Source organism: Homo sapiens, chromosome 2 (genome assembly GCF_000001405.40).
Source record: "Homo sapiens chromosome 2, GRCh38.p14 Primary Assembly".
In the NCBI taxonomy this organism is placed as follows: Eukaryota; Metazoa; Chordata; class Mammalia; order Primates; family Hominidae; genus Homo; species Homo sapiens.
In genome coordinates, this window is record NC_000002.12 from 201,525,909 (window position 1) to 201,552,497 (window position 26,589).

Consider the following 26,589-nt stretch of genomic DNA (forward strand, 5'->3'; position numbering starts at 1 on the left):
TAACCAGGAGGAAACTGAAACCCTGAACAGACCATTGGTGTGTTCCAAAATTGAATCAGTAATAAAAAACCTGCCAATCAGAAAAAGCCCAGGACCAGATAATTCACAGCTGAATTCTACCAGATGTATAAAGAAGAACTTGTACCAATTCTACTGAAACTATTCCAAAAATTTAAGAAGGAGATAGTCTTCTTTAACTCACTCTAAGAGGCCAGCATCATTCTGATACCAAAACCTAGCAGAGACACAACAACAACAACAACAATTTCAGGTCAATATCCCTGATGAACATAGATGCAAAAATCCTCAATAAAATACTAGCAAACTGGGCCAGGCATGGTGGCTCACACCTGTAATCCCAGCACTTTGGGAGGCTGAGGCAGGTGGATCACTTGAGGTCAGGGTTTGAGATCAGCCTGGCCAATATGGTGAAATCCTGTCTCTACTAAAAATACAAAAATTAGGCGGGTGTGGTGGCACACACCTGTAGTCCCAGCTACTCAGGAGGCTGAGGCAGGACAATCGCTTGAACCCAGGAGGCAGAGGCTGCAGTGATCCGAGATCACGCCACTGCACTACAGCCTGAACGACAAAGCAAGACTCCATCTCAAAAAACAAAAACCTAGCAAACCAAATCCAGCAGCACATCAGAAAGCTAATCTACCATGATCAAGTAGGCTTTATTCCTGGGATGCAAGGTTGGTTCAACATAAGCAAATCAATAAATGTGATTCATCACGTGAACAGAACTAAAAACAACATGATCATCTCAATAGACATAGAAAAAGCTTTCAATAAAATTCAACATCCCTGCATGTCAAAAACTCTCAAAAGACGGCATCAGAGGAACATATCTCAAAATATTAAGAGCCATGTATGACAAACCCAAAGCCAACATCATACTGAATGGGGAAAAGCTGGAAACATTCCCTTGAGAACCAAAACAAGACAAGGATACCAACTCTCACTACTCCTATTCAATGTAGTTCTGGAAGTTCTTCCAAAATCAGGCAAGATAAAGAAATAAAATGCATCCAAAAAGGAAGTGAAGAAGTCAAACTATCCCTTTTTGCAGATGATATAATTCTATACCTACAAAACCCCATAGTCTCTGCCCAAAGGCTTCTAGATCTGATAAACAACGTCGGCAGTTTCAGGATGCAAAAATCAATGTATAAAAATCATTAGCATTTCTATACACCAATAATGTCCAAGCTGAGAGCCAAATCAAGAACACAATCCCATTCACATAGCCAAAATAAGAGTAAAATACCTAGAAATACAGCTAACCAGGGAGGTGAAAGATCTCTACAACCAGAATTACAAAACACTGCTAAAAGAAATCATAGACAAGACAAACAAATGGTAAAATATTCCATGCTCATGGAGAGGAAGAATTAATATTGTTAAAATAGCCATACTGCCCCAAGAAATTTATAGATCCAATACTATTCCTACCAAACCACCAATGACATTCTTTGCAGAATTAGAAAAAAGCTATTCTAAAATTCATATGGAGCCAAAAAGAGCCAAAATAGTCAAAGCAATCTTAAGCAGAAAGAACAAAGCTGGAGGCATCACACTACCCAACTTCAAACTACAGTACAAGGTTACAGTAACCAAAACAGCATGGTATTGGTACAAAAACAGACACATAGACCAATGGAACAGAATGGTGAACCCAGAAATAAAGCCACACACCTACATCCATCTGATTTTTGACAAAGTCGACAATAACAAGCAGTGGGAAAGGCACTCCCCACTCAATAAATGGTGCTAGGATAACTTGCTAGCCACATGCAGAAGATTAAAACAGACCCCTTCCTTTCACCATCTACCAAAATCAACTCAAGTTAGATTAAAGACTTAAATGGAAAACCTAAAACTATAAAAACCCTAGAAGGAAACCTAGGAAACACCATTCTGGACATAGACCCTGGAAAAGATTTAATTATGAAGACTCCAAAAACAATTGCAACAAAAATAAAAATTGACAAGTAGGACCTAATAAAAACTAAAGAGCTTCTGCACAGCAGAAGAAACTATCAACAGAGTAAACAGACAACTTAAAGAATGGGAGAAAATATTTGCAAACTACACTTCTGAAAAAAGTCTAATATCCAGAATCTATAAGGAACTTGAATCAACAAGCAAAAAGCGAAAAAAAAAAAAAACATTAAAAAGTGGGCAAAGGACATGAACAGACACCTATCAAAAGATATATACACCACCAATAAACGTATGAAAATATGCTCAACATTACTCATCATCAGAGAGAAATGCAAATCAAAACCACAATGAGTTAACATCTCACACCATTCAGAATGGCTATTATTAAAAAGTCAAAAAACAATAGATGCTGGTGAGGCTGTGGAGAAAAGGGAACACTTATATACTGTTGGTGTAAATGTAAATTACTTCACCCACTGTGAAAAGCTGTTTGGAGATTTCTCAAAGAACTTAAAACAGAACTACCACTTGACCCAGCAATCCCATTACTGGGTATATACCCAAGGAATATAAATTATTCTACCAAAAAGACACATTCATGTATATGTTCATCATAGCACTATTCACAATAGGAAAGACATGGAATCAACCTAGACTCCCATCAATGGTAGATTGGATAAGGCAAATGTGGTATGTATATTCCACGGAATCTGATGCAACTATAAAAAAAAAGAAATCATGTCATTTGCAGAAACATGGATGCAGCTCAAGACCATTATCCTAAGGGAATTAATGCAGGAATAGAAAACGAAATACTACATGTTCTCACTTATAAGTGGGAGCTAAACATTGAATACACATGGACAGAAAGAAGGGAACAGATACCAGGGCCTACTTGAGGGTGGAAGGTAGAAGGAGGGTGAGTATCGAAAAACTACCTATTGGATACAATATTTGCTACCTGGGTGATAAAATAATTTGTACACTAAGCCCCAGAGACATGAAATTTACCCATGTAACAAGCCTGCAGAAGTAACTCCTGAACCTAAAATAAAACTTGGAAGGAACAAAACAACAAAAATTAGTAGTTTCTATACACAGTGAGCTAGCTAAAAAAGAAATCAAGGAGGCAATCCCATTTACCATAGCTATACTAAAAATAAAATACCTAGGAATAAATTTAACCAAGGAGGTAAAAGACTTCTACAAGGAAAACTATGAAACACTGAGGAAAGAAAGAAGATAAAAACAAATGGAAAGATAGACCATATTCATGAATTGTAAGAATTAATATTTTTAAAACATCCATACTACCCAATGCAGTCTACAGATTCAATCCAATTCCCACTAAAACTCCAATGTCATTTTTCACAGAAATAGAAAAAATAATCCTAAAACCCATATGGAACCATAAAATACCCCAAACAGCCAAAGCAATCTCGAGCAAAAAGAACAAAGCTAGATGCATCACAACTCCCTGGTTTCAAATTATGTTATAAAGCTATTGTAATAAAAACAGCATGGCACTGGCACAAAGACACATAAACCAATGGAACAGGTAGACAACCCAGTAATAAACCCAAGTATTCAGTATTTATAATTAGTTGATATTTGACAAAGATGCCAAAAACACAAAAGGGAAAGAACAGACTCTTTAATAAATGATGTTGGGAAAAATAGATATGGCCCAGAAGATAAAATTGGACACTTATCTCACACCATACACAAAAATCATCTCAAAATGTATAAAAGACTTATATGTAAGATGTGGAAATGTGGAATTGTAAAGTTAATAGAGGAAAACATAAGGGAAAATCTCCACAATACTGGTCTATGCAATGATTTCTTGGATAGGACTCCAAAAATGCAGGCACGAAAAGCAAAAATAAGACAAATGGAGTTGCATCAAATCAAAAGCTTCTGTACAGAAAAGGAAACAATGAACAGAGTGAAGAGACAAAACATGAACTGGAAGAAAATATCTGCAAACCATACAGCTGATAAGGGGCTAATATTCAAAATATATAAGGTACACAAACAACCCAAAAGCAAGAAAACAAATAACCTAATTTTAAAATGGGCAAAGGAACTGAACAGACATGGCTCAAAGGAAGACATATGAAAGGCCAATAGATATACTAAAAATACTCAATATCTCTGATCATCAGAGAAATGCAAATTGAAACCACAATATGATATCATTTCATGCCTGTTACAAGGGCTATTATCAAAAAGAAGAATGATACGTGTTGGCAAGGATGTGGAGAAAAGGGAACCCTTGTACACTATTTGTGGGAATATAAATTAGTACAGCCATTTTAGAAAGTAGTATGGAGGTTCCCAATAAAACTAAAAATAGAATTACCATATGGTCCAGCAATCCTACTTCTGGGTATATATCCAAAGGATTTGAAGTTGGTATATCAAAGAGATATCTGCATCCCCGTGTTTACTGTTGTGCTATTGTAATAGCTAAGATATGGAAGCAACTTAAGTGTCTATCAACAGATCAATGGATAAAGAAAATATAGTATATGTACACAGTGGAATACTACGCAGCCTTAAAAAAGAAGAAAATTCTGTCTGTGGATAAAATAATTGCAAGGTGCATTTCACATGCATGGTTTTGGTTGATTCCAAGTACAGAATTAGCAAGGACAAGGTTTTGGAGAGATTACGGCATATTTCCCAACAGTACCATCAATCATTAGTAAGGGATTTAAAATTTAATGCATGGAATTCATGGCTTAAAGAGGGCAGTTAAATATAAATGGATGAATCGGAGATATGAGGTTAATGATGTCACATATATCACTCTCTGCCTTCATTAACCCTAATCTTCTGCAGACCCTACAGGCTTTTAAACTCAATTAGAGCTCTTACCACTTACCCTTTGTGGAAATAATCTTGCTGCCTTATGCCTGACATTTAGTGTGTCAGAGCTAGATGGTTCATCCACCTTCAGAGTATTAAAATGATTGCATTTCCTATGACTATGTGATTGATTTAATTACATACAGTGCGGCCCAGGAGTTATAATGTATTCCCAGAGCAAATGCCTCAAGACACTGCAGTGTTTTTGTTTTGTTTTGTTTTTTGTGGGTTTTTTTTTTTTTTTTTGAGATGGAGTCTCACTCTGTTGCCCAGGCTGGAGTGCAGTGGCGCGATCTCAGCTCACTGCAAGCTCCGCCTCCCTGGTTCACGCCATTCTCCTGCCTCAGCCTCCTGAGTAGCTGGGACTACAGGCGCCCGCCACCACGCCCAGCTAATTTTTTGTTTTTTAGTAGAGACAGGGTTTCACCGTGTTAGCCAGGATGGTCTTGATCTCCTGACCTCGTGATTCACCTGCCTCGGCCTCCCAGAGTGCTGGGATTATAGGGGTGAGCCACCGCGCCTGGCCGACCCTGCAGTATTTTTAACTAAACTAATTCAACAGATATTTACTACTGCCTACCGTGGACTCATCACTATTAGTGGTGAGTTCTAAGTAGTAACAGCTCTAATTATGTATGTCTTTGAGTTTAAAATACTCATCATTATTACTAGATAGTAAGATACAGTGGTAAATAAGACTAAATCTCAGTACCATCTGTAATTTAAAGTCAAATGGGAGTAACAGACAATAAATGACTAAAGAAACATAATATGATACCAGGAAATGATATATGAAGAAAGAATACTAGGGATGGAGGAGGGTGGATGGGTAGATAATTACTTTACATAGAGTGGTCAGAGGAGCCCCCAAACCCAGCCTCCACTAAGGAGGGAACATCTGAGCAGAGTCCTAAATGGTGTGAATGAATGAACCCTGAGAAGATCCGCAGGGGAGAGCACTCCCCTGACAGAGAAGAATATTAGAAAGAGCTTGAGGCTGGAATAAGTTTAGTTTGTTCAAGGAATAGTAAGAATACTAATGTGGCTGAAGCAGAGTGAACAAAGGGAACAATGCTAACACATGAGGACAGAAAGATTAAATAGGGGCATTGTAGATGATGGTGAGAAGTTTGGACTTTATTCCAGGCATGAAAACACGCCATTGAAGAATACTGATCAGAGGAGTGACATGATTTAGATTTCGTCTTTACAAGATCGGTCTGGCTGCTATGAGAAGAACAAACCAGATAGAGGCAAAATTGGAAGTAGGAAAACAGCTTTTATAGCAGACAGGAGAGATGAAAGTAGCTTGGTCTAAGGTGATAGCAATTACAGTGGTGGATTTCAGATACATTTTGAATACAGAATTAACAAGACTTGATGGTGGATTGGATATAAGAGATGAGAGAAACCACGATATCAAGGCTGACTCCTAGGGTGTTGGTCTTAACAGTTTAGAGGTGCCATTTATAAGAATATAAACTCCACAAGAACATTTATTTTTGTCTTTTTTGAATATAAGCTCCACAAGAACATTTATTTTTGTCTTTTATGTTCAACAACATATTTCATTCACCTAGAAATAATGCCTGGAATGTTTATATGCTGAAAAGATTAAAGGAATAGGCAACATTAAGAGGAGGGAATCTAAATTAGGGGTGGAGAGTTAGTGGAGGTGAAATTAAGAATTCAGTCTTCGTCATGTTAAGTTTGACGTTTCTATAAGCTATCTAAGTGAAGTAAGTTTTTACATATATGCTCTTGGAGTTCAAAGAAGAGCCCCAAGATGTGGAAGTTATTCATTTATAAATTATATTTAAAGTTACAGGGCTGAATGAATAACCTATTATTCAGGTTAGAGAGTTAGAGAAAAAATAAAATACAAGGTTAGAGAAAAAAATAAAATACAAGGACTGGGTGTGAGACAATTGAGACCTCCCCAGCAAAGAGTAGTCAACGAAGAAGGAAGAAAACTAGGAGAATGTAATATTACAAAAGGCCAGTGAAAAAGATCAGTTTCAAGAAAAGGGTGGAACTATTTTGTCAAATGCGGCTAAGTAGTCACAGAGATGAGGACTGAGAACTGATAACCACATTTGGTAATATATTAGTCATTGGGGACTCAGTTGTGGGTTCATTGGAATGTGGTTCAGGGTCAAGATGACAAGGGTATGGCTGTAAGATCTGTTAAGGCCTCAAAAAGATTTAAGGTGGTGACTCATAGGCCTACTCAGCTAGACAAAAATTATTTTAAGAATCTTAAGTGGCATCTCAGGCCTTCTTTGCCAGACAAGGGCACTTCTAAATTTCTTAAGGACATTTTGCCACAGCACCCTGACTCTCAGCCCAAGGAAACAGGGGCCTGTCTTGAAGATATTTAGAAGTGTAACATTTGACTAATTGAGATCTTAATTTGATACACAGGAAGCCCACAAAATCTTTAAGAGAATAATAGCATCTTAGACTGAAAGGAACAGGGATAGTTTAGAAAGAAAAGACACATATGTGAAATTTCAGCCTTCACTGAAAGCAAAAATGAAAAGACACATTTGAACTTTCAACTTCCCTCACACTGAACATGGGCTGCAACTACAAACAGAAGTTATTTCTTATGGAAAAAGGCTTATTCAAAGGGTAAGGCCAAAACATGAGGGCAAGGCCAAGAACTTCAGAATTACTATGGTCAACTGACTGATATATGCCTCATGTTTTCCCTCCCTCTACATTTAGAATTTAAGTGTCTGTTCCAATTTTCCTGTTCTTGGCTCATCATTGTATGTAGGGGACAGATGGTCTCTTCAATTCATAGATTTTAAGTCTGAAAGGAGCCATACCTAAAAAGCCTCACCCACATGAACTTTAGTTAGATAAAAACATTTTGTACTTCAAGCCTGAGCTTGATGCAGTAATAGCATGACATTGAGGATCTTGGGAGGCAAGTGAGTATATTTTGCATGTGGGAGGAATATGATTTACTTGGAACTTAGTTAATCTCCAAATATGGCCCCCAATGCATACCCCTCCCAAGATTTATGCCCTTCTGTAGTCTCTTCCCATACTGAATCAGGACTGAGTATGGGACTTGCTGTAATTAACAGAAGTTAGTGAGGGTGACCCTGTGCTCGTCCCAAGCCTATGTCTTAAGAAGACCTGAAGGTTCTGTTTTTGTATTTTGGAAGCCTTGAGCTGCCACATAAAAAGCTCAGCAGCCTTGTTAGAGAGATTACATAGAAAGAGCACAAGTAGAAGCCCCATGGAGAAGGAGAAGGATAATTCCCAAGATTACACGGAAAGAGAGATCTGTATATTATCTATCTATCTATCTATCTATCTATCTATCTATCTATCTATCTATCAAATCTGAGATATATATATATCTGAGACAGAAAGAAGGAAACAGACACATTAAACCAGATGTTCTTGCATCCCAGATGAGCCCAGCCCTAACAGCTATTCAAGGTGTCAGACATGTAAGTGAGTGATCATGAGTGTTCCAGCCTAATCAAGCTCCTAGATAAGTCCATCTAACATCCAACATCAAGTGGAGCAGAAGAACTGCCCAACAAGCAAGTCAACCCCACAGTATCTTGAGAGATAATAAAACATCTTTTTTAATCCACTAGGTTTTGGAGTGGTTTGTTATACAGCAATAAATAACTTACTTATCAAGTGAAAGTTGAATATTTTGGAAGTCAGACTGAATGTAATACATACATTAAAAGGTAAACTACAAACTATGTGCCCATACAAGTGGTTAATATCTTGAAAATAAAAAGAGCTCATTATAAAACCTAAACAAAATCCCCAAGTCTTCAAACAAAAAAATGGACAAAGGACATGATCTGTCTACTCATAGCAGGGAAAACCAAAATGACTAATGAGCAAAAAAAAGTGTTAATCATTATTTAAAAGACCATTAATACTCAAATACTGTTGGTAAGAATGTAAAGTGGTACAGTCTTTCTGGAGAGCAATTTGTTAGCATGCCATTTCTGTAAATACATTAGGAGATAATCACAGATCCACAGATCTAAATAAATAAGCAAAAGTGTTAATTTCAAACTTAATGTCCAACAATATGAAAACTGTTTAAAAACTTATGGAATATTAATATTTGAGGATATTCTACATCTTGCAGATTTTTAAGAAAATTCAAGTGGCATGCATGTAAAGTCAAAAAATAAAAATTATATGTCTATTTTGATTCAAGCTTTTAAAATTCATAAAAGATATATGTACATATGCATAAGAAAGACTAAAAGAAAATAAAATTGTTAAATCTAGCAGTAGAATTATAACTGCTTTTATTTTTTCTTTTACATTTCTCTCCATTTTCTAAATTTTCTGTGACTGTGCATTACTTTCACATTCAGAAAAAACAAGAATGTTATTTGACATAGGTAACTGAGAGTAATTCCCAGTTAAAATTATGTCTTTTGAAATTTGGGAGAGAATTTAGAAATGACCTAGTCTGATCTACCATTCAAATAATGAGAAAAATAGGTCTAGAGACTTAGATGCCCAAGCTAGTATTTAGAAGCAGAATCTCACTTAGAACTCAAATTCTTTATCTTCTGACCTATATATCTTTTTATACCATTTGATGAACTACCTGTAATAGTTATTCCAATAAGATATAAAGATATAAGTAGAATGGCTGTCATTTTGAGAAAGTCTATTATTTGGTGTACCTTTAAATTCACACTCTTATTCTCATTTTAAACTATAAAATTATTTGTAATAAGGAGAACATGTTATTTCCTATAATATAATAGTTTTATTAAGAATTTCCACTGAAATAACTCCTCAGGCTTTTAAATTTCCTTTGAATTTACATTTTGTTATTGTCGTTACACTTTCAGCTGAATTACTAACCCAAGAGATTAATTTGTATTACTGGCATCTCAAATCACTTTGCTTTTCTTGAAAGTTTTTTATCCTCATTTCTTGATTGATATAAGTAAAGCAGGAATATTTAATATACTTAGACACATTTCCACTTGGAGACATTTGAATGCATTTTCGATTTATTTGTATTTAATTTTTTAAAATAGATTATTTTGTCTCCCTAGTCTTATACTTCTAATATAAGGGCAGACACCTTGAGCTCAAGGCCTTCTTTTGGGTCTTGGCTTTGAAAGCTACCTTTTAATTTTTAATCTGGTGGAAACTAAGCCTGTGTTCTCCCTTTCAGCTAAGTTTAGATTGTTGTTTTGCCAGCTAATTTCTGTTGGAGATGAATCTAAGTTCCTGCTCTTTGGATTTATACAGATACTCCTCAAATTTACCTCTGATAGAGATGAGTCTGCTTTTAAAATGCTTGGATAGTTATCTTTTAATTTTACTTCTAATGGAAAAAATACATTTTTCATTTTTCTGTCTGGCATGCTTTCTGATTGACGTTCACCTAAAGGTGGTATTCTGCCTGCTTTTATTGTTTCCTGGTTAGAAATAGTGCACAATGAGTGCACTTCTGTGGGTGAAGGTGTTGATTCATCATTTTTAGAAGCATCAGCAGTTGAATTATCTTGGTCCGATTGGTTCAAAGTTGGTATAGTCAGGCCTTTCTCAGAATCATTATCCAGTAACTAGAAAATACAGCAATAAAACAAACTACCAGTTAATCATTATTGACTGGAAAATTTTACAAATTAAGAAAATGACTCAAAATCAATTGTACCCTTATCCTTTAGCATAACAAATTACCATTATTATTTGTAAATTTTAATTCCTTAGTAAACATAGTAAGTTCTTTACTTGCCTGAAACCATGGACTGTAGAATACTATCCATAAAAATGATAAAGCAGTGGTTCTCATATATCCAAATTTATAAATCAGCAACATCTCAAAATAAAAAATCTGAGGGTCTGACATTTTACTGTTATTACACTGTCACCAATATATCATGAAACAAAGGAAATTTTAATAACAAAATGCACAAGGAATGATACCATAAATCACAACTATATAAGAAAATAAAGAGAATATTAATAGCACCACAGTACAAAGAACAATATTGTAAAATAAAGGATAGCCTGTTAAACTAAATAAATTTAGCTTTATGAAAAATTCTCTATATTATCTTCTTTTACTCTCCTTGAACTGCGGAAAACAGTAATACATACTGACTCTTCAATTGGTATTTGGGAGCCACTGACCCAGGAATGGAAATCATTAAATCCTACTTGTCAAGCAGTAAGTGAACATTTTACTCTTCACTGATTTACATGGGGAGCCACTCCTTTATGGAATGAATACCTTATGTAAATTTAGCTGAAAAGCAAATTATATTATGTAAACTCTATGTTTTGTTTATTTCTATTTTAAACTATAGAATATCATTTCCTGTGCAAAGTTTACAATATGATAAAAGATTTTGGTGAGAAAGAGTAAAAACTGCAGTTACATCTATGGCATTTATTTCTAAGATCTTACGTAGAACTTCATGCTTTTTTCTTGTTTCTCCTTCATCTCTTCCTCAACACATTTTGTCCCCTATCTTCATATTTTTAAATGTTACTATTTTATGCAGAAGGCTCTTTCAAGAGTGTAACTATACAGATATTGCCATAATAGAAACCATAAAACAACTGAGTAACTTCTTGGATGCCTTTCTCTATCTATAAATATTTCTCCATTTATAAATATTTTATCCCTTTATAAAATAATGACTATTAAAAGTTCTCTTCCAATTTCCCTTACCTCATTTGCAGTAGTTTCAGCTTCCTCATTTACAAGAGGGATATCTGCTTAAACAATTAATAGGGGTATTTTATTTTACATAAAAACAATAAACACATATGTATGTACATTAATAAAATACTATTACATTTTTTCTCACTAAAAACAAAGAGCAACTTAAATCAAAGCAGCTATCCAAACATAAACACTACTTAGTATAAACAAGCTGATGAATCTCTGGGAAGATGGGGGAGTGGTAAATGATAACATTTCAGATCCATAAATACAAGACACAAACACAGGTACATGCTATATTTTTTAAAAGTTGGGAGGAAATAAACTCCAGATGATAAGTGATGGGACTGGGATTGGAAGAAGAGACTAGAATAAAGGCATATGAAATCAGACAAAATAGGACCATTCAAGGAAGGCTGGTTAAAATACTTGTAAAATTTTCCTAGAAATATAAGGAATACATATTTAGCATGTAAAAAGGGAAAACCTAAAAGGGACAAAAAGAAAATAAATAACTGAAGCAGAATTCTAGCAAAAAAATTTGCTATGGTCACAACTACATGACTTCGTTCAGCTCTTTCTTTTTTCTTTTAATGGTGGTAAGAACAATTCACATGAGACCTATCCTCTTAAATTTTCTAGTGCAAAACACAATAATGTTAACTATCAGCACAATGTTGTAAAGCAGATCTCTAGAACTTCATCATCTTGCATAACTTAAACTTTATACTTGTTGAAAAGCAATTCCCTATTTGCCCCTCCCCCTAGCCTCAGGCAACCAGCATTCTACTCTGACTATTTCATATACCTCACATATATGGCATCATGCAATATTTGTCTTTCTGTGACTGGCTTATTTCACTTAGTATAATGTCCTCAAGGTCCATCCACGTTGTCACATATGGCAGGATTTCCTTATTTTTAAATGCTGAATGATATCCCATTGTATGTAGACTGGCATATCTCTTTTTATTGCACTTCTCAGATACTGTGTTTTGTACAAATTGAAGGTCTGTGGCAACCTTGCGTTGAGCAAGACTACTGGTGCCATTTTTCCAAAAGCATGTGTTCACTTAGTGTCTCTGCATCACATTTTGATAATTCTCAAAATATTTCAAACTTTTTCATTATTATAATATCTTTTATGGTACTCTATGACCAGTGATCTTTGATGTTACTATTGTAATTGTTGAGGGGCACCACAAACCACACCCATCTAAGATAGCAAACTTTTTTTATAAAAATTTAACTTTTAAGTTCAATTGTACATGTGTTGGTTTGTTATATAGGTAAACGTGTGTCATGGGGGTTTGTTGGACAGATTATTTCATCACCAGGTATTAAGCCTATTATCCATTAGTTATTTTTCCTGATCCTCTGCCTCCTCCTACCCTCCACTCTCTGATAGGTCCCAGTGTGTGTTGTTCCCCTCTATGTGTCCATGTGCTCTCATCATTTAGCTCCCACTTATAAGTAAGAACATGTGGTATTTAGTTTTCTGTTCCTGCATTTGTTGCTAAGGATAATGGTCTCCAGCTCCATCTATGCTCCTGCAAAGGACATGATCTCATTCTTTTTATGGCTGCATAGTATTCTATGGTGTATATGTACTACATTTTCTTTATCCAGTCTACCATTGATGGGCATTTAGCTTGATTCCATTTCTTTGCTATTGTGAATGGTACTGCCATGAACATACCTGTGCATGTGTCTTTATAAAAGAATGATTTATATTCCTTTGGGTATATACCCAGTAATGGGATTGCTGGGTCAAATGGCATTTCTGTCTTTAGGTCTTTGAGGAACCACCACACTGTCTTCTACAGTAGTTGAACTAATTTACACTCCCACCAACAGTGTATAAGCATTCCTTTTTCTCTGCAACCTTGCCGGCATCTGTTATTTTTTGACTTTTTAATAGTAGCCATTCTGACTGGTGTGAGATGGTATCTCATTATGGTTTTGATTCACATTTCTCTAATGATCAGTGATGTTGAGCATTTTTTCATATGCCTGTTGGCCATATGTGTGTCTTCTTTTGAAAAGTGTCTGTTCATGTCCTTTGCCCACTTTTTAACGAGGTTTTTTTTTTTTTTTTTTGTAAATCTTTGCCCACTTTTTAACGAGGTTGTTTTTTTTTTGTTTTTGGTTTTGGTTTTTTTTGCCAAGATCCCTTATAAATGCTGGATATTAGACTTTTGTAAGATGGCAAACTTAATTTATAAATGTTGTGTGTGTTGTAACTATGCCACTGACCAGCTGTTCCCCCATCTTTCTTCCTCTCCTTGGCCTCTCTATTCCCAGAGACACAACAATATTGAAATTAGGCCATTAATAACCCCAAAATGGATCTAAGTGTTCAAGTGAAAGAAGATTTGTACATCCCTCACTTTAAATCAAAAGCTAGAAATGATTAAGCTTACTGAGGAAGGCATGTTGAAAGCTGAGATAGGCCAAAAGCTAGGCCTCTTGCACCAAACAGCCCAGATGAGAATGCAAAGGAAAACATTTTTGACAAAAGCGAGAAGTGCTACTCCACACACAAATGATAAGAAAGCAAAACAGCTTATTGCAGATATGGAGAAAATTTTAATAATCTGGACAGAAGATTAAACCAGCCACAAACAGTCCCTTAAGCCAAAGCCTAATCCAGAGAAAGCCCCTAACTCTCTTCAATCCAATGAAAGCTGAGAGGTGAGGTGGCTGCAGAAGAAAACCTTGAAGCCAGCAAATGTTGGTTCGTGAGGTTTAAGGAAAGACAGTATTTTTGTAACACAAAAGTGCAAGGTAAAGCAGCAAGTGCTGATGTAGAAGCTGCAGCGAGTTACCCAGAAGATCTAGCTAAGATATTGATAAAAGTGACTACACTAAATAGGTTTTTATCGTAGATGAAACAGTCTTATACTGAAAGAAGGTGTCATCTAGACTTTCATAGCTAGAGAGGAGAACTCAATGCCTGGCTTCAACGCTTCAAAGGACAGGCCAACTCTCTTGTTAGAGGCTAATGTAGCTGCTGATTTTAAATTGAAGCCAATGCTCATTTACCATTCTAAAAATCCCAGGGCCCTTAACATTTATGTCAAGTGTACTCTGCCTGTGCTCTATAAATGGAACAACAAAGCATGGATGACAGCAGATCTGTTTGCAGCATGGTTTACTGAATATTTTAAGCTTGCTGTTGAGACTTACTATTCAGAAAAAAAGATACCTTTCAAAATATTACTGCTCAGTGACAATGCACCTGGTCATCCAAGAGCTCTGATGGAAATGTCTGAGGACATTAATGTTGCTTTCATGCCTGCAAACATAGATCCATTCTGCAGCTCACAGATCAAGGAGTAATTTCAACTTTCAAGTCCTCTCATTTCAGAAATACATTTTGTAAGGCTTTAGCTGCCTTAGATAATTCCTCTGAGGGATCTTGGCAAAGTAAATCGAAAACCTTCTGCAAAGGATTTACCATTCTAGATGCCATTAAGGACATTTGTGCTTCAGGAGAGGAGCTCAAAATACCAACATTAACAGGAATTTGGAAGCAGTTGATTACAACCCTCATGGATGACTTTAAGATGTTCAATAAAACTTCAGTAGAGAAAGTAACTACAGATGTGATGAAAATAGCAACAGAGGTAGAATTAGAAGTGAAGCCTGAAGATGTGAGTAAACTGCTACAATCTCATTATAAAATTTGAATGGATGAGGAATTGCTTCTTATGGATGAGCAAAGAAAAGTGGTTTCTTGAGATGGAATCTACTGCCAAAGATGCTGTGAACACTGCTAAAATGACAACAAAGGATTTAGAATTCTATATAAACTTAGTTGACAAAGCAGCAGCAGGGTTTGAGAGGATTGACTCCAATTTTGAAAGAAGTTCTACTGTGGGTAAAATGCTATCAAACACCATCGCATACTACAGAGAAATCCTTCATGAAAGGAAGAGCCAACTGACGCAGCAAAATTCATTGTTGTCTTATTTTTAAAAATTGCCACAGCCACCCCAACCTTCAGCAACTACCATCTTGATCAGTCCCAGCCATTAAGATCAAGGCAAGACCCTCCAGCAGCAAAAATATTGCAACTCACTGAAGGCTCAGATGATTTTATATATATATATATATATATATATATATATATATATATATATATATAAAATTTACAAAAAACCCATACATATATATATGACAGAGTCTCATCTCACTCTGTTACCCAGGCTGGAGTGCAGTGGCATGATCTCAGCTTACTGCAACCTCCACCTCCCGGGTTCAAGAGATTCTCATGTCTCAGCCTCCTGAGTAGCTGGGACTACAGGCGTGAGCGACCACACCCTGCTAATTTTTGTATTTTTAGTAGAGATAGGGTTTCACCATGTTGGCCAGGCTGGTCTTGAACTCCTGACCTCAGGTGATCTGCCTGCCTCGGCCTCCCAAAGTGCTGAGATTACAAGCTTGAGCCACTGTGCCTGGCCTCTCTATTTTTTGAGATAGGGTCTTGCTCTGCCACCCAGGCCGAAGTACAGTGGCATGATCCTACCTGATGCACTGCACCCTTGAACTCTTGGGTTCATGCAATCCTCCTGCCTTGGCCTCCCAGAGTGCTGATATTACATGCATGAGCCACTGTGCCCAGCCAGCAATTAAGTATTTTTTAATTAAGTCATGTACATTGACTTTTTACATAATGCTATTGCACACTTAATAGACAAAAGTATAGTGTAAATGTAATGTTTATATGCCCTAGGAAACAAAAAAAAATCACATGACTTGCTTTATTGTGGTGGTCTAGAACTGAACCTGCAATGTCTCTGAATTATGTGTGTATACCACATTTTGTTTATTCATTCATCTATGACATTTAGGTTGTTTCTACATCTTGACTATAGTAATAACATGGCAATAAACATAGGAGTGCAAATATTGCCTTGAGATGCTGATTTCAATTCTTTTGGATAGACACCCAGAAGTGAAATGGCAGGATCATATGATTTATCTATTTGTCATTTTTTTGAGTAACCACCATGCTGTTTTCAAAAGCAGCTGCATCATTTTACATTCCCCCAACAGTGTACTAGGGTTCAAATTTCTTCACATCCTTGCCAACACTTGTTGACTTTTCAATAATAGCCATCTTAACAGGTGTGATATCTCATTATGATTTTGATTTGTATTTACCTGATGATTAATGATGATAAACAGTTTTTGTATACCCATTGGACACTTGTAATGTCTTCTTTGGATAAATATGTATTCAAGTGCTCAGTCCATTTTTTATTTATTTATTTTTTTGCTATTGAGTTGAAAAGTTTCCTTATATGTTTTGGAATATTAGCCCTTTAACAAATATATGGTTTACAAATATATTCCCCCATTCTGTAGGTTTCCTCTTCACTCTGTTGTTTCCTTTACTGTGTAGAAGCTTTTTAATTTGATATAGCCCCACTGTCTGTTTTTGTTTTTGTTGCCTGTGCCTTTGGTGTCTTATCCAATAAATCATTGCCAACACCAGTGTCAATGAGATTTTCCCCTATGTTTTCTTCTAGGAGTTTTACAGTTTCCAGTCTTACATTTAAGTCATTAATCCATTGAGAATTGATTTTTGTTTATGGTGTTAAGCAAAAGTCTAATTTCAATTCTTTTGCATGTGAATATCCAGTTTTCCCAACACCATTTGCTGAAAAGACTATTCTTTCCTCATTGTGTGTATTCTTGGCACACTTCTCAAAGATCAGTTCATCACATTTGCATGGGTTTATTTCTAGGCTCTCTCTTCTATTCTATTGATCTATATGTTTATCTTTATGCCAGTCCATGCTATTTTAATTGCTATAGTTTTGTAATACATTTTGAAATCAGAACGTGTGATACCTCCACGTTCTTCTTTCTCAAGACTGTTTTGACTATCCAGAGTCCTCTGTGGTTCCACATAAATTTTAGGATTGCTTTTTCTACTTCTGTGAAAAACACCATTAGAATTTTGATAGAGATTGCACTGAATCTGTAGATTGCTTTGGGTAGTATGAACATTTTTCAGAGTATTAAATCTTCAAACTCATGAACACAGGATATTTTTCCCTTTATTTTCTTATCCTTAATTTCATTATCAATGTTTTTTAGTTTTCAGAGTGCAAGGTCTTTGACCTCCTTTGAAAAGTTTATTCCTAATTATTTTATTCTTTTTGATGCTATTGTAAACTGGAATTATTTTCTTGATTTCTTTTTTGGATAGTTCATTGTTAGTGTATAGAAACAAAACTGATTTTTCTGTGTTGGTTTTATCTCCTGCAACTTTACTGAATTCATGTATTGGTTCTAACAGGTCTTTTTGTGTGGAGTCTACAGAATTTTCTATATGTAAGATCCTGCCATCCGCAAACAAAGATAAAGAAATATTATTATGTATTTTAAAGTGTAGTACTATACTTTAACTTGCTTTCTTTTTTTTATTATTATACTTTAAGTTCTAGGGTACATGTGCACAACATACAGATTTGTTACATATGTATACATGTGCCATGTTGGTGTGCTGCACCCATTAACTCATCATTTACATTAGGTATATCACCTAATGCTATCCCTCCCCACTGCCCCCATCCCACGACAGGCCCCAGTGTGTGATGTTCCCCTTCCTGTGTCCAAGTGTTCTCATTGTTCATTTCCCACCTATGAGTGAGAACATGCGGTGTTCGTTTTTTTGTCCTTGTGATAGTTTGCTCAGAATGATGGTTTTCAGCTTCATCCATTTCCCTACAAAGGACATGAACTCATCCTTTTTTATGGCTGCATAGTATTCCATGGTGTATATGTGCCGTATTTTCTTAATCCAGTCTATCATTGTTGGACATCTGGTTTGGTTCCAAGTCTTTGCTATTGTGAATAGTGCCGCAATAAACATACGTGTGCATGTGTCTTTAGAGCAGCATGATTTATAATCCTTTGGGTACATACCCAGTAATGGGATGGCTGGGTTTCACTTGCTTTCTTAGTGAATTTAAGAGATTTTTAAAAGACTGCATGAACAGTCCACTTATTAAATCTCTTACTGATACTTTATGATAAATTCTCAAATGTAATGCTAATCTAATTTCCTCTCCTTCTTCCTCTGCCACACTTTCTTTTTCACACACACACACACACACATTCCTCTGCATAAACACACTCCTCTACATAAAAGAGACCAATAGCTCTATAGTTCACAATGTCTAATAAAAATGCCTTTTCACAGGTCATAGTTAATATTTTAACTTTTTTCTCATCCTTAAAAAAGTAAAGGAGCATTGGCCAAGCGTGGTGGCTTATGCCTATAATCTCAGCACTTCGGGAAGCCAAGGCAGGAGGATTGCTTGAGCTCAAGAGTTTGAGACCAGCATGGGCAACATGGCAAAATCCTGTCTCTACAAAAAAAAAAAAAAAAAATACAAAAATTAGCCAGGCATGGTGGCGTGTGCCTGTAGTCCCAGCTACTTGGGAGGCTAAGGTGGGAAGACTGATTGAACCCAGGAGGTCAAGTCTGCAGTGAGCTGTGGTTGTGCAACTGCACTCCAGCCTGGGTGACAGAACTAGACCCTGTCTCAGATAATAATAATAATAAAATTTAAAAATAAAGCAACATTAAAACGTCTTTTTTTGTGTGAGATGGAGTCTCACTCTGTCGCCCAGGCTGGAGTGCCGTGGCAAGATCTCGGCTCACTGCAACCTCCGGCCTCCAAGTTCAAGCAATTCTCCTGCCTCAGCCTCCTAAGTAGCTGGGATTACAGGCACCTGCCACCGCGCCTGGCTAATTTTTTGTATTTTTAGTAGAGACAGGGTTCCACCATCTTGGCCAGGCTGGTCTTGAACTCCTGACCTCATGATCCACCCGCCTCGGCCTCCCAAAATGCTGGGATTACAGGCATGAGCCACCGTGCCTGGCCTTAAAACTTTTTAAAACTCGTAATAGGGTCTAACACTTTTCTTTAAAATTATCACACCTACCATATGCCAAAACTATAGTGAAATGCCTATTTATTTCCTAACAAAACAGAAATCTACTTAAAGCAAATTACTAATTGTCTTTTTGTGATATAATCACTTTGATTTCAATTATCTTAATAATAAAAAAATCAAAGTAGTTTCTTACCTACTCCTACAATATTTTCAAGCTCCTCTTCAGGATGATTACTTTTCGTGTTTTCAGATGCCTCATCTATATTAGTTTCCTAGAAGCAAAAAAAAAAAAAAAAAAAAAAAAGAAAAAAAAATATATATGGGAAAATATTTAAAGAACGAAAACATTTTCCTCTGCCTTCATAACTACTTTTAATACAATACACCTTCCTCCACACCCAAATTTACAGAAGACAAGAAGGAGATGGGTTTGTGAGGAAAGCAATTCAAACAGCACTATTTTAAGGAGCCACATACTCTGGCTAGGAGTTGATGTTCCAAAGAAAGTGTATCCAAGAATGGATAGAGTATTTGAGTGATGAATGTGGGAGATGAATATTACAAGATAAATTACATAATATTGTAACTTCAGGGGGTATGAGAAGATACCCCCAGGAAACAGATTACTTTTTTTATTAGAATACATTATGGCCTATGACTTAAAAGTGATGTGTCTCTTTACAAAATTCCAAGGAGAATTATAAGGTAAAGTGATCAGTGGGCACTTATAAAATACTGATCTTTTAAAAAGAACCCTAAGTTCTTAGTCCCTTTAATAAAAAGTCCTCCAAAATGTCTCTAAAATATGAATAGTGTATTGGTAAATACTAATCAGTTTATCCAACAGAAGCCCAACTCTGCCCAATTATCACAGAGGTATAAAAAAATGAAAATATCAATATGTTATAACTAACATTTTAGACTATGATCATAGTCAATGTTTTATCCATCCATTGAGAGAGCTATGAATCCTTTATTTCCAAGTCAACATGTATAGGTTAGAGTATATTTCTAAATATCAAACCTTACTCATATTTCTGATAAGAGTTTAATGTCCAGAATATACAAAGAACTCTTACAACTTAACAATAAAAAGAAAAATAACTCAATTTTAAAATTGGCAAAGGATTTGAATAAACTTTATCCAAAGAAGATATACAAATGTCCAGTAAACACATGAAAGATGTTCACATCATTAGTCATTAGAGAAATGCAAATCAAACCTACAATGAGATACCACTTCAAACCCACTAGGATGGGTATAATAATAATTTTTAGAAGTTAAAAAGGGTAGATGAAGATGTTGATCTTTCATACATTGCTGGTTGGAATGTACGATGATGCAGCTGCTGTGGAAAACGGTTTGGAAGCTCCTCATAAATCGAAACAGGAAACTATGACACAGTCCAGCTTCTACTCCTTTATATATACCCCAGAGAATTGAAAACATTTGTTCACACATAAACTTGCACATAAATGTTCACAGCAGCATTATTCATAATAGCTTTTAAGTAGAAACAAACTAAATGCCCATCAGCTGAGGAATGCATAAACAAAATGTGGCATATCCAAATAATAGAATGTTATCTGGAGAGAGAAAAGAATGAAGTACTGGTACATGCTACAACAGGGGTGAAACTTAAAAACATAGCAAGCAAAAGAGGCAAATCACAAAGAACAACACATTGTATGATTCCATTTATATGAAATGTCTAGAATAGGCTAAAGCTATACAGTTAGAAAGTTGACTAATTGCTGCCTAGGGCTAGTGGAGGGGATGGAAAAATTGGGAGGTATTGGCTAAAGGGTATGGGGTTGCTTTTGCAGGTGATAAAAACGTTCTAAAATTGACTGTGGTGATGGATACACAACTCAGTGAAGATACTAAATGCCACTGAGTTCTATACTTTAAATGGGTCATTTGTATGGTATATGAATGATATCCTTATAAATTATCAGTAACTATTAAACCCTATAAATTATCAATAAATATTCATTGAATGGCACATTATCAAAACAGGTAAGTACCTGAACCATGAAAAATATTTTATATATCAAGGACAAAAAATTTGATCATCACTTTTAATTATCATAATCCCATTCTTAATAAAAAGTATTAAAAGCTATATATAGGAGAATGTATTATGTCAATTACCTCAGAATCCTTATGTTCCAATTTTGGCATTAGAATGCTTTCTAAATAGTTAGCTTTATCTATCCATGTATTCAGATTTCTATATTCTTTTTTCATCTTTTCCAGCCTAAAGAAAGAAATAAGTTATGAATGAAAAAAGCAAGTGATAGAAGAATACATATGGTATGATTCACAGAAGAATACTTGCAATGTGATCCATTTATAAAATGTTCTAAAAGAGACAAACCAACAATATATTGTCTAGGGATACAGTCAAAGGACAGGGAATGATTACAACAAAAATCAAGGTACTAGTTACCTGGGGATGGTTAAGGAGAGGGATGTAACCTCAGAAGGGTACACAAAATGTATTTCTGATATTACTGGTGGTGTATTTCTTAACCTGAATCATAAATATGTACACAATGGCGTTATTATCATTATTTAGGCTATACATACTTGTTATAGAAATTATTCAATATATATTACTCTTAGTATTTAAACTATACGTCTTAGTCAGTTTGAGCTGCTGTAACAGAATACAATAGACTGGGTGACTTAAACAACAGACTTTTTTTTTAATGTACTTTAAGTTCTAGGGTACTTGTGCACAACGTGCAGGTTTGATACATAGGTATACATGTGCCACGTTGGTTTGCTGCACCCATCAACTCATCATTTACATTAAGTATTTCTCCTAATGCTATCCCTCCCCCAAACAATATACATTTATTTCTCACAGTTCTAGAGGCCAGGAATTCCAAGATCAAGGTGCTGGCAGATCCAGTGTCTGGTGAGAGTAGTCTTCACTGTTTGCAGATGGCTTTCTTATATCCTCACATAGTGGAAAGAGATGAATCTTGTGTCTCTTTCTCTTTTTATGAGGGCATTAATCCCATCATTGTAACAGTCCTACCCTCATGACCTAATCTAACCCTAATTATCTTCCAAAGGCAATGCCTCCAAATAACATCACACTGGGGACTAGGATTTTAACATATGAATTTGAAGGGAGACACAAACATTCAGTCCATAACACTATATATATATAATTATTCAATACATATACAATATCTTCCACAATAAAACAAGTGAAAAAAAGGATGTATCTTCTAATCCAAGAAACTTCAAAAAGCTTGAATACCTTAAAGATATAATTAACAAGGATTAAATGGAAGACAGGGAATGTTTCCCAGTTCATTTCATGAGGACATAATGGCCTTGACAATAAAACCTGACAAAGACATTACAAAAAAGAAAAATTACAGTTTAATCTCATTCATGAATATAGATGTGAACATTACAAATAAAATATAGTTTTAGTACAAAAATCCAGTAGTGTGCAGACACAATTTGAGAATAGCAGTTGAAACTGGGAGGGCTTTTCTCGTTTCAGGATTCATGGTAAGATCTAAAGGGCCTGGAGCAGTCTAATGACTATGAATGCTCAAAACTGACCAGCCAAGTATCTCTTCCAGGACAGGACCCCAGGAAATCTTAAAAAGCATTCCATTATACTACACACACACACACCCCCCAGCCAAATGAAAACATCAGAAGTGTGAATCTGTGAAGCTAGAAGAGTTTTCTAAGCCAATTCTCCTGCAAAAAATTCAGGCAAATTAATGTCACATAAAATAGACCAATACACTTTAACAAAGATTAAAACCTGCAATGGATTGCAGCCTATCAAATGTTTAAATCTATGAGTTCAAAATAATATTTTAAGTATTTTTTTCAGAAACTAAAGTGTAAGACCTTACACTTCTGGTCCACTACAGGTCACTGCCCTAATGTATATACAACATGAAACACCATTTCATCAACAGGCTCATTTATTTAATTAATAACATTAATATTAATAATTTTCATAATCTGAGAAGGCTTCACTTCAAAATGGGAAGTGTCAGTGGTGGAACTCTCATCTAAAAATTTCGAATGATTTCATGGCCACCCATAACCATATTATACAATCAAAAAGCCCATATACGTAGAAGCTAAAAATAAGAAAGCAAGGAGTCAAACCCCCTATAACTGGTTTCAGGCTAGCTTCATAACCATTATGACTTTTTCAACAAGCAAGATACTAGTAAAAATGTTACATAACTTTGTCAAAGTTAATTTATAGGTTAAAATTCTTTATATCTTTGTGGCATACCTATTCCAGTCAGGCTTTCAAGATGCAGCATCATCTATTATAGAAGAACTACACTTACAAAATCACACTGTAATAATCGTTTTCTTAATTAGCTCTTTAGTCCTTTATGTTATTTCATTAATACTAACAACTAAACTAACCCACACAAAATAGATGCTTAAGAAGTAGAAACAGTATGAATTATCTTACTCGCTATTATTTTAATCCTAATTACTTTACTGTCTTTATGAATCCTATACATGATAGGTAAAATGAGTATCTCTTCCCCAACTGTAAAAACCATAGGCTACCAATGATATTTAGGTATAAATATACAGACTACAAAGACCTGAAGTTTGATTCTTATATAATCCCTACAACAGACCTTAAACCAGGAGATTTATGACCACTAGAAGTTGATAATTCGAGTAGTCCTACTTATGGAAATGTCAATTTTCATATTAATCTCATTCAAAGATGTATTACATCCATAAGCTGTTCCATCATTAGGCCTAAAAACAGATTAAATTCCAGGATGTTTAAATCAAGCAACTCTAACATCCACATGACCAGGCCTATACTATGGACAATGCTCAGAAATTTGTGGATCAAATCACAGCTTTACGCCTATTGTACTTGAATTAGTGCTGCAAAAACTGATCGGCACCTATGTCATCGTGAAGCTAAGTGGCATTAACCTTTTAAGTTAAAGAATGAAAGCATTGATCTTTCCACAACAATATGCCACAATTAGCTACATCAACATAATTTATCACTTTTTTCAATAATTCTAGCCCTATTTAGCCTATTTCAATTAAAAATTTCAAAATATACCTACTCTTTAAACCTGTCACCAAAAAATATTGAAGCACCAAAACATGAAACCCCTAAGAAAAAAAGTGAATGAAAATTTATTTATCTCTTTCATTACTCCCACAATAATAGGACCACCTAGTATCCTCATCATTTCACTCCCATTCTATTCCCTGCTCCCAATTGCCTAATTAGTAATCGACTAATCTCTATACAATGATTAGTGTAACTTGTATTAAAGCAAGTGATAACATTCCATAATATAAAACAACAAACTTGATTTCTAATATTAATCTCCTTTATCCTATTTTCATTGGCTCAACAAATTTATTCGGATCATTAAGTCATTCATCTACACCAATCACCCCATTATCAATATATCTAGGTATGGTTATCCCACTATGAGCAGGAACAGTAACTACTGGTTTCCACCACAAAACAAAAGCAACACTGGCCCACTTCCTACCACAAGGAAAACCCATTCCACTTATCCCTCTACTAGTAATTATTGAGACTTTTTACTCAACCCATAGTGGCTGCAGCTCTACCACTAACAGCCAGTATTACAGCTGTCCATTCATGCATTTAATTGGTGGAGCCACATTAGCACAGTTGATTCTTGAGCAACATGAGCTTGAACTGTGCACGTCCACCTATATGTGGATTTCTTTCAATAAATATATTGGAAAATTGTTTGAGATTAGTTACAATTTGAAAAAACTCACAGATAAGCTGCATAGCCTAGAAATATTTTTTTAAAAATGTTTCAGTTAGTATATCATGAATGCATAAAATATATGTACTAGTCTATTTTATCATTTACTACCATAAAATATACACAGATTTATTATAAAATTTAAAATGTATGCACATAGACATTTATTATAAAGTACTAGTCTATTTTAAAGTACTACTATTTTAAAGTACTAGTCTATTATAAAGTACTACTCTATTTTATCATTTACTACCATAAAATATACACAGATTTATTATAAAATGTAAAACTCATGCACATAGAGATTATACATGGTGCCATTTGCAATTGAGAGAAATGCAAACAAATGTAAAGATACTGTATTAAATCATAACTGCATAAATTAACTGTAGTTCATACTGTACTACTGTAATAATTTTGTAGTCACCTATTCTTGCTATAGCAGAGAGCTCAGGCATTGTGAGTATTCACTTTTAATGCCATGTGACACTAATCAACTCTGCGTGAGACGTCTCTCCAGTAAATAAATGCATGTCATTGTAAAAAGTGATCTCTCGACTAGCCTCACCAACATGGAGAAACCCCGTCTCTACTAAAAATACAAAAAATATTAGCCGGGCATGGTGGTGCATGCCTGTAATCCCAGCTACTCAGGAGGCTGAGGCAGGAGAATCGCTTTAACCCGGGAGCCGGAGGTTGCAGTGAGCTGAGATCGCACCATCGCACTTCAGCCTGGCCAACAAGAGGGAAACTCCGTCTAAAAAAAAAAAAAAAAGTGATCTCTCGTGGTTCTTGTGTATTTTTCTTTCTTGTTTCTTTCTTTCTCTTTTCTTTGTTTCTTTCTTTTTTTTTTCTTTTTTGGGACACAGTCTAGTTCTGTTGCCCAGGCTGGAATGCAGTGGTGCGATCTCGGCCCCGTGTGATCTCGGCTCCACCCCCCAGGCCCAAGTACTTCTCCCACCTCAGCCTTGAGTAACTACAGGTGCATGCCACGCCTGGCTAAGTTTTGTATTTTTTGTGACATGAGGTTTCACCATGTTGCCCAGGCTGGTCTCAAACTCCAGAACTCAGGGATCCTCTCCTCCCAAAGTGCTGGGATTACAGGTGTGAGCCACTGCGCCCAGCCCTTGTATATTTTTCATTGAGCTTCGCAGTGTAAACCTTGAATAACACCATGGGACCTGTACGAAGTGCCACTAGTGATGCTAGAAGTGCTCCTAAGAAACAGAGAAAAATTATGACATTACAAGAATAAGTTGAGTTGCTTGATATGTACCATAGATTGAGGTTGCCCACCATTTCAAGATAAATGAATCCAGCATAAGGACTATTGTTAAAGAAAAGAAGAA

General features: G+C 35.6%; 1 protein-coding gene and 3 pseudogenes across 19 annotated transcripts in view; 3 read left to right on the top strand and 1 right to left on the bottom strand.

Moving 5' to 3' along the window:
• Positions 1-26,589, bottom strand: part of CATSPERT (catsper channel auxiliary subunit tau) — a 131,758-nt gene that overhangs the window by 38,488 nt on the left and 66,681 nt on the right. For 8 of the 19 annotated variants that reach the window (XR_007069662.1, XM_047443510.1, XM_047443509.1 and 5 more), the window contains 4 exons: positions 21,597-21,702; positions 19,635-19,713; positions 11,528-11,574; positions 10,113-10,412 (listed from right to left, as the gene is read on the bottom strand). Coding sequence is in view for 18 of the 19 variants with exons in the window: in XM_047443510.1 (XP_047299466.1) it covers positions 10,113-10,412; positions 11,528-11,574; positions 19,635-19,713; positions 21,597-21,702 (532 nt within the window). In the remaining variant the exon portion in view is untranslated. Of the gene's footprint in view, positions 1-8,411; positions 10,413-11,527; positions 11,575-19,634; positions 19,714-21,596; positions 21,703-26,589 lie in introns of those variants that run through there. The other 11 variants (XM_047443508.1, XM_024452728.2, NM_152525.6 and 8 more) reach the window with 4 other exon arrangements.
• MTCO1P16 (MT-CO1 pseudogene 16) lies at positions 23,366-23,565 on the top strand (annotated as a pseudogene).
• On the top strand, positions 23,723-24,399 carry MTCO2P16 (MT-CO2 pseudogene 16; annotated as a pseudogene).
• MTATP6P16 (MT-ATP6 pseudogene 16) lies at positions 24,616-25,141 on the top strand (annotated as a pseudogene).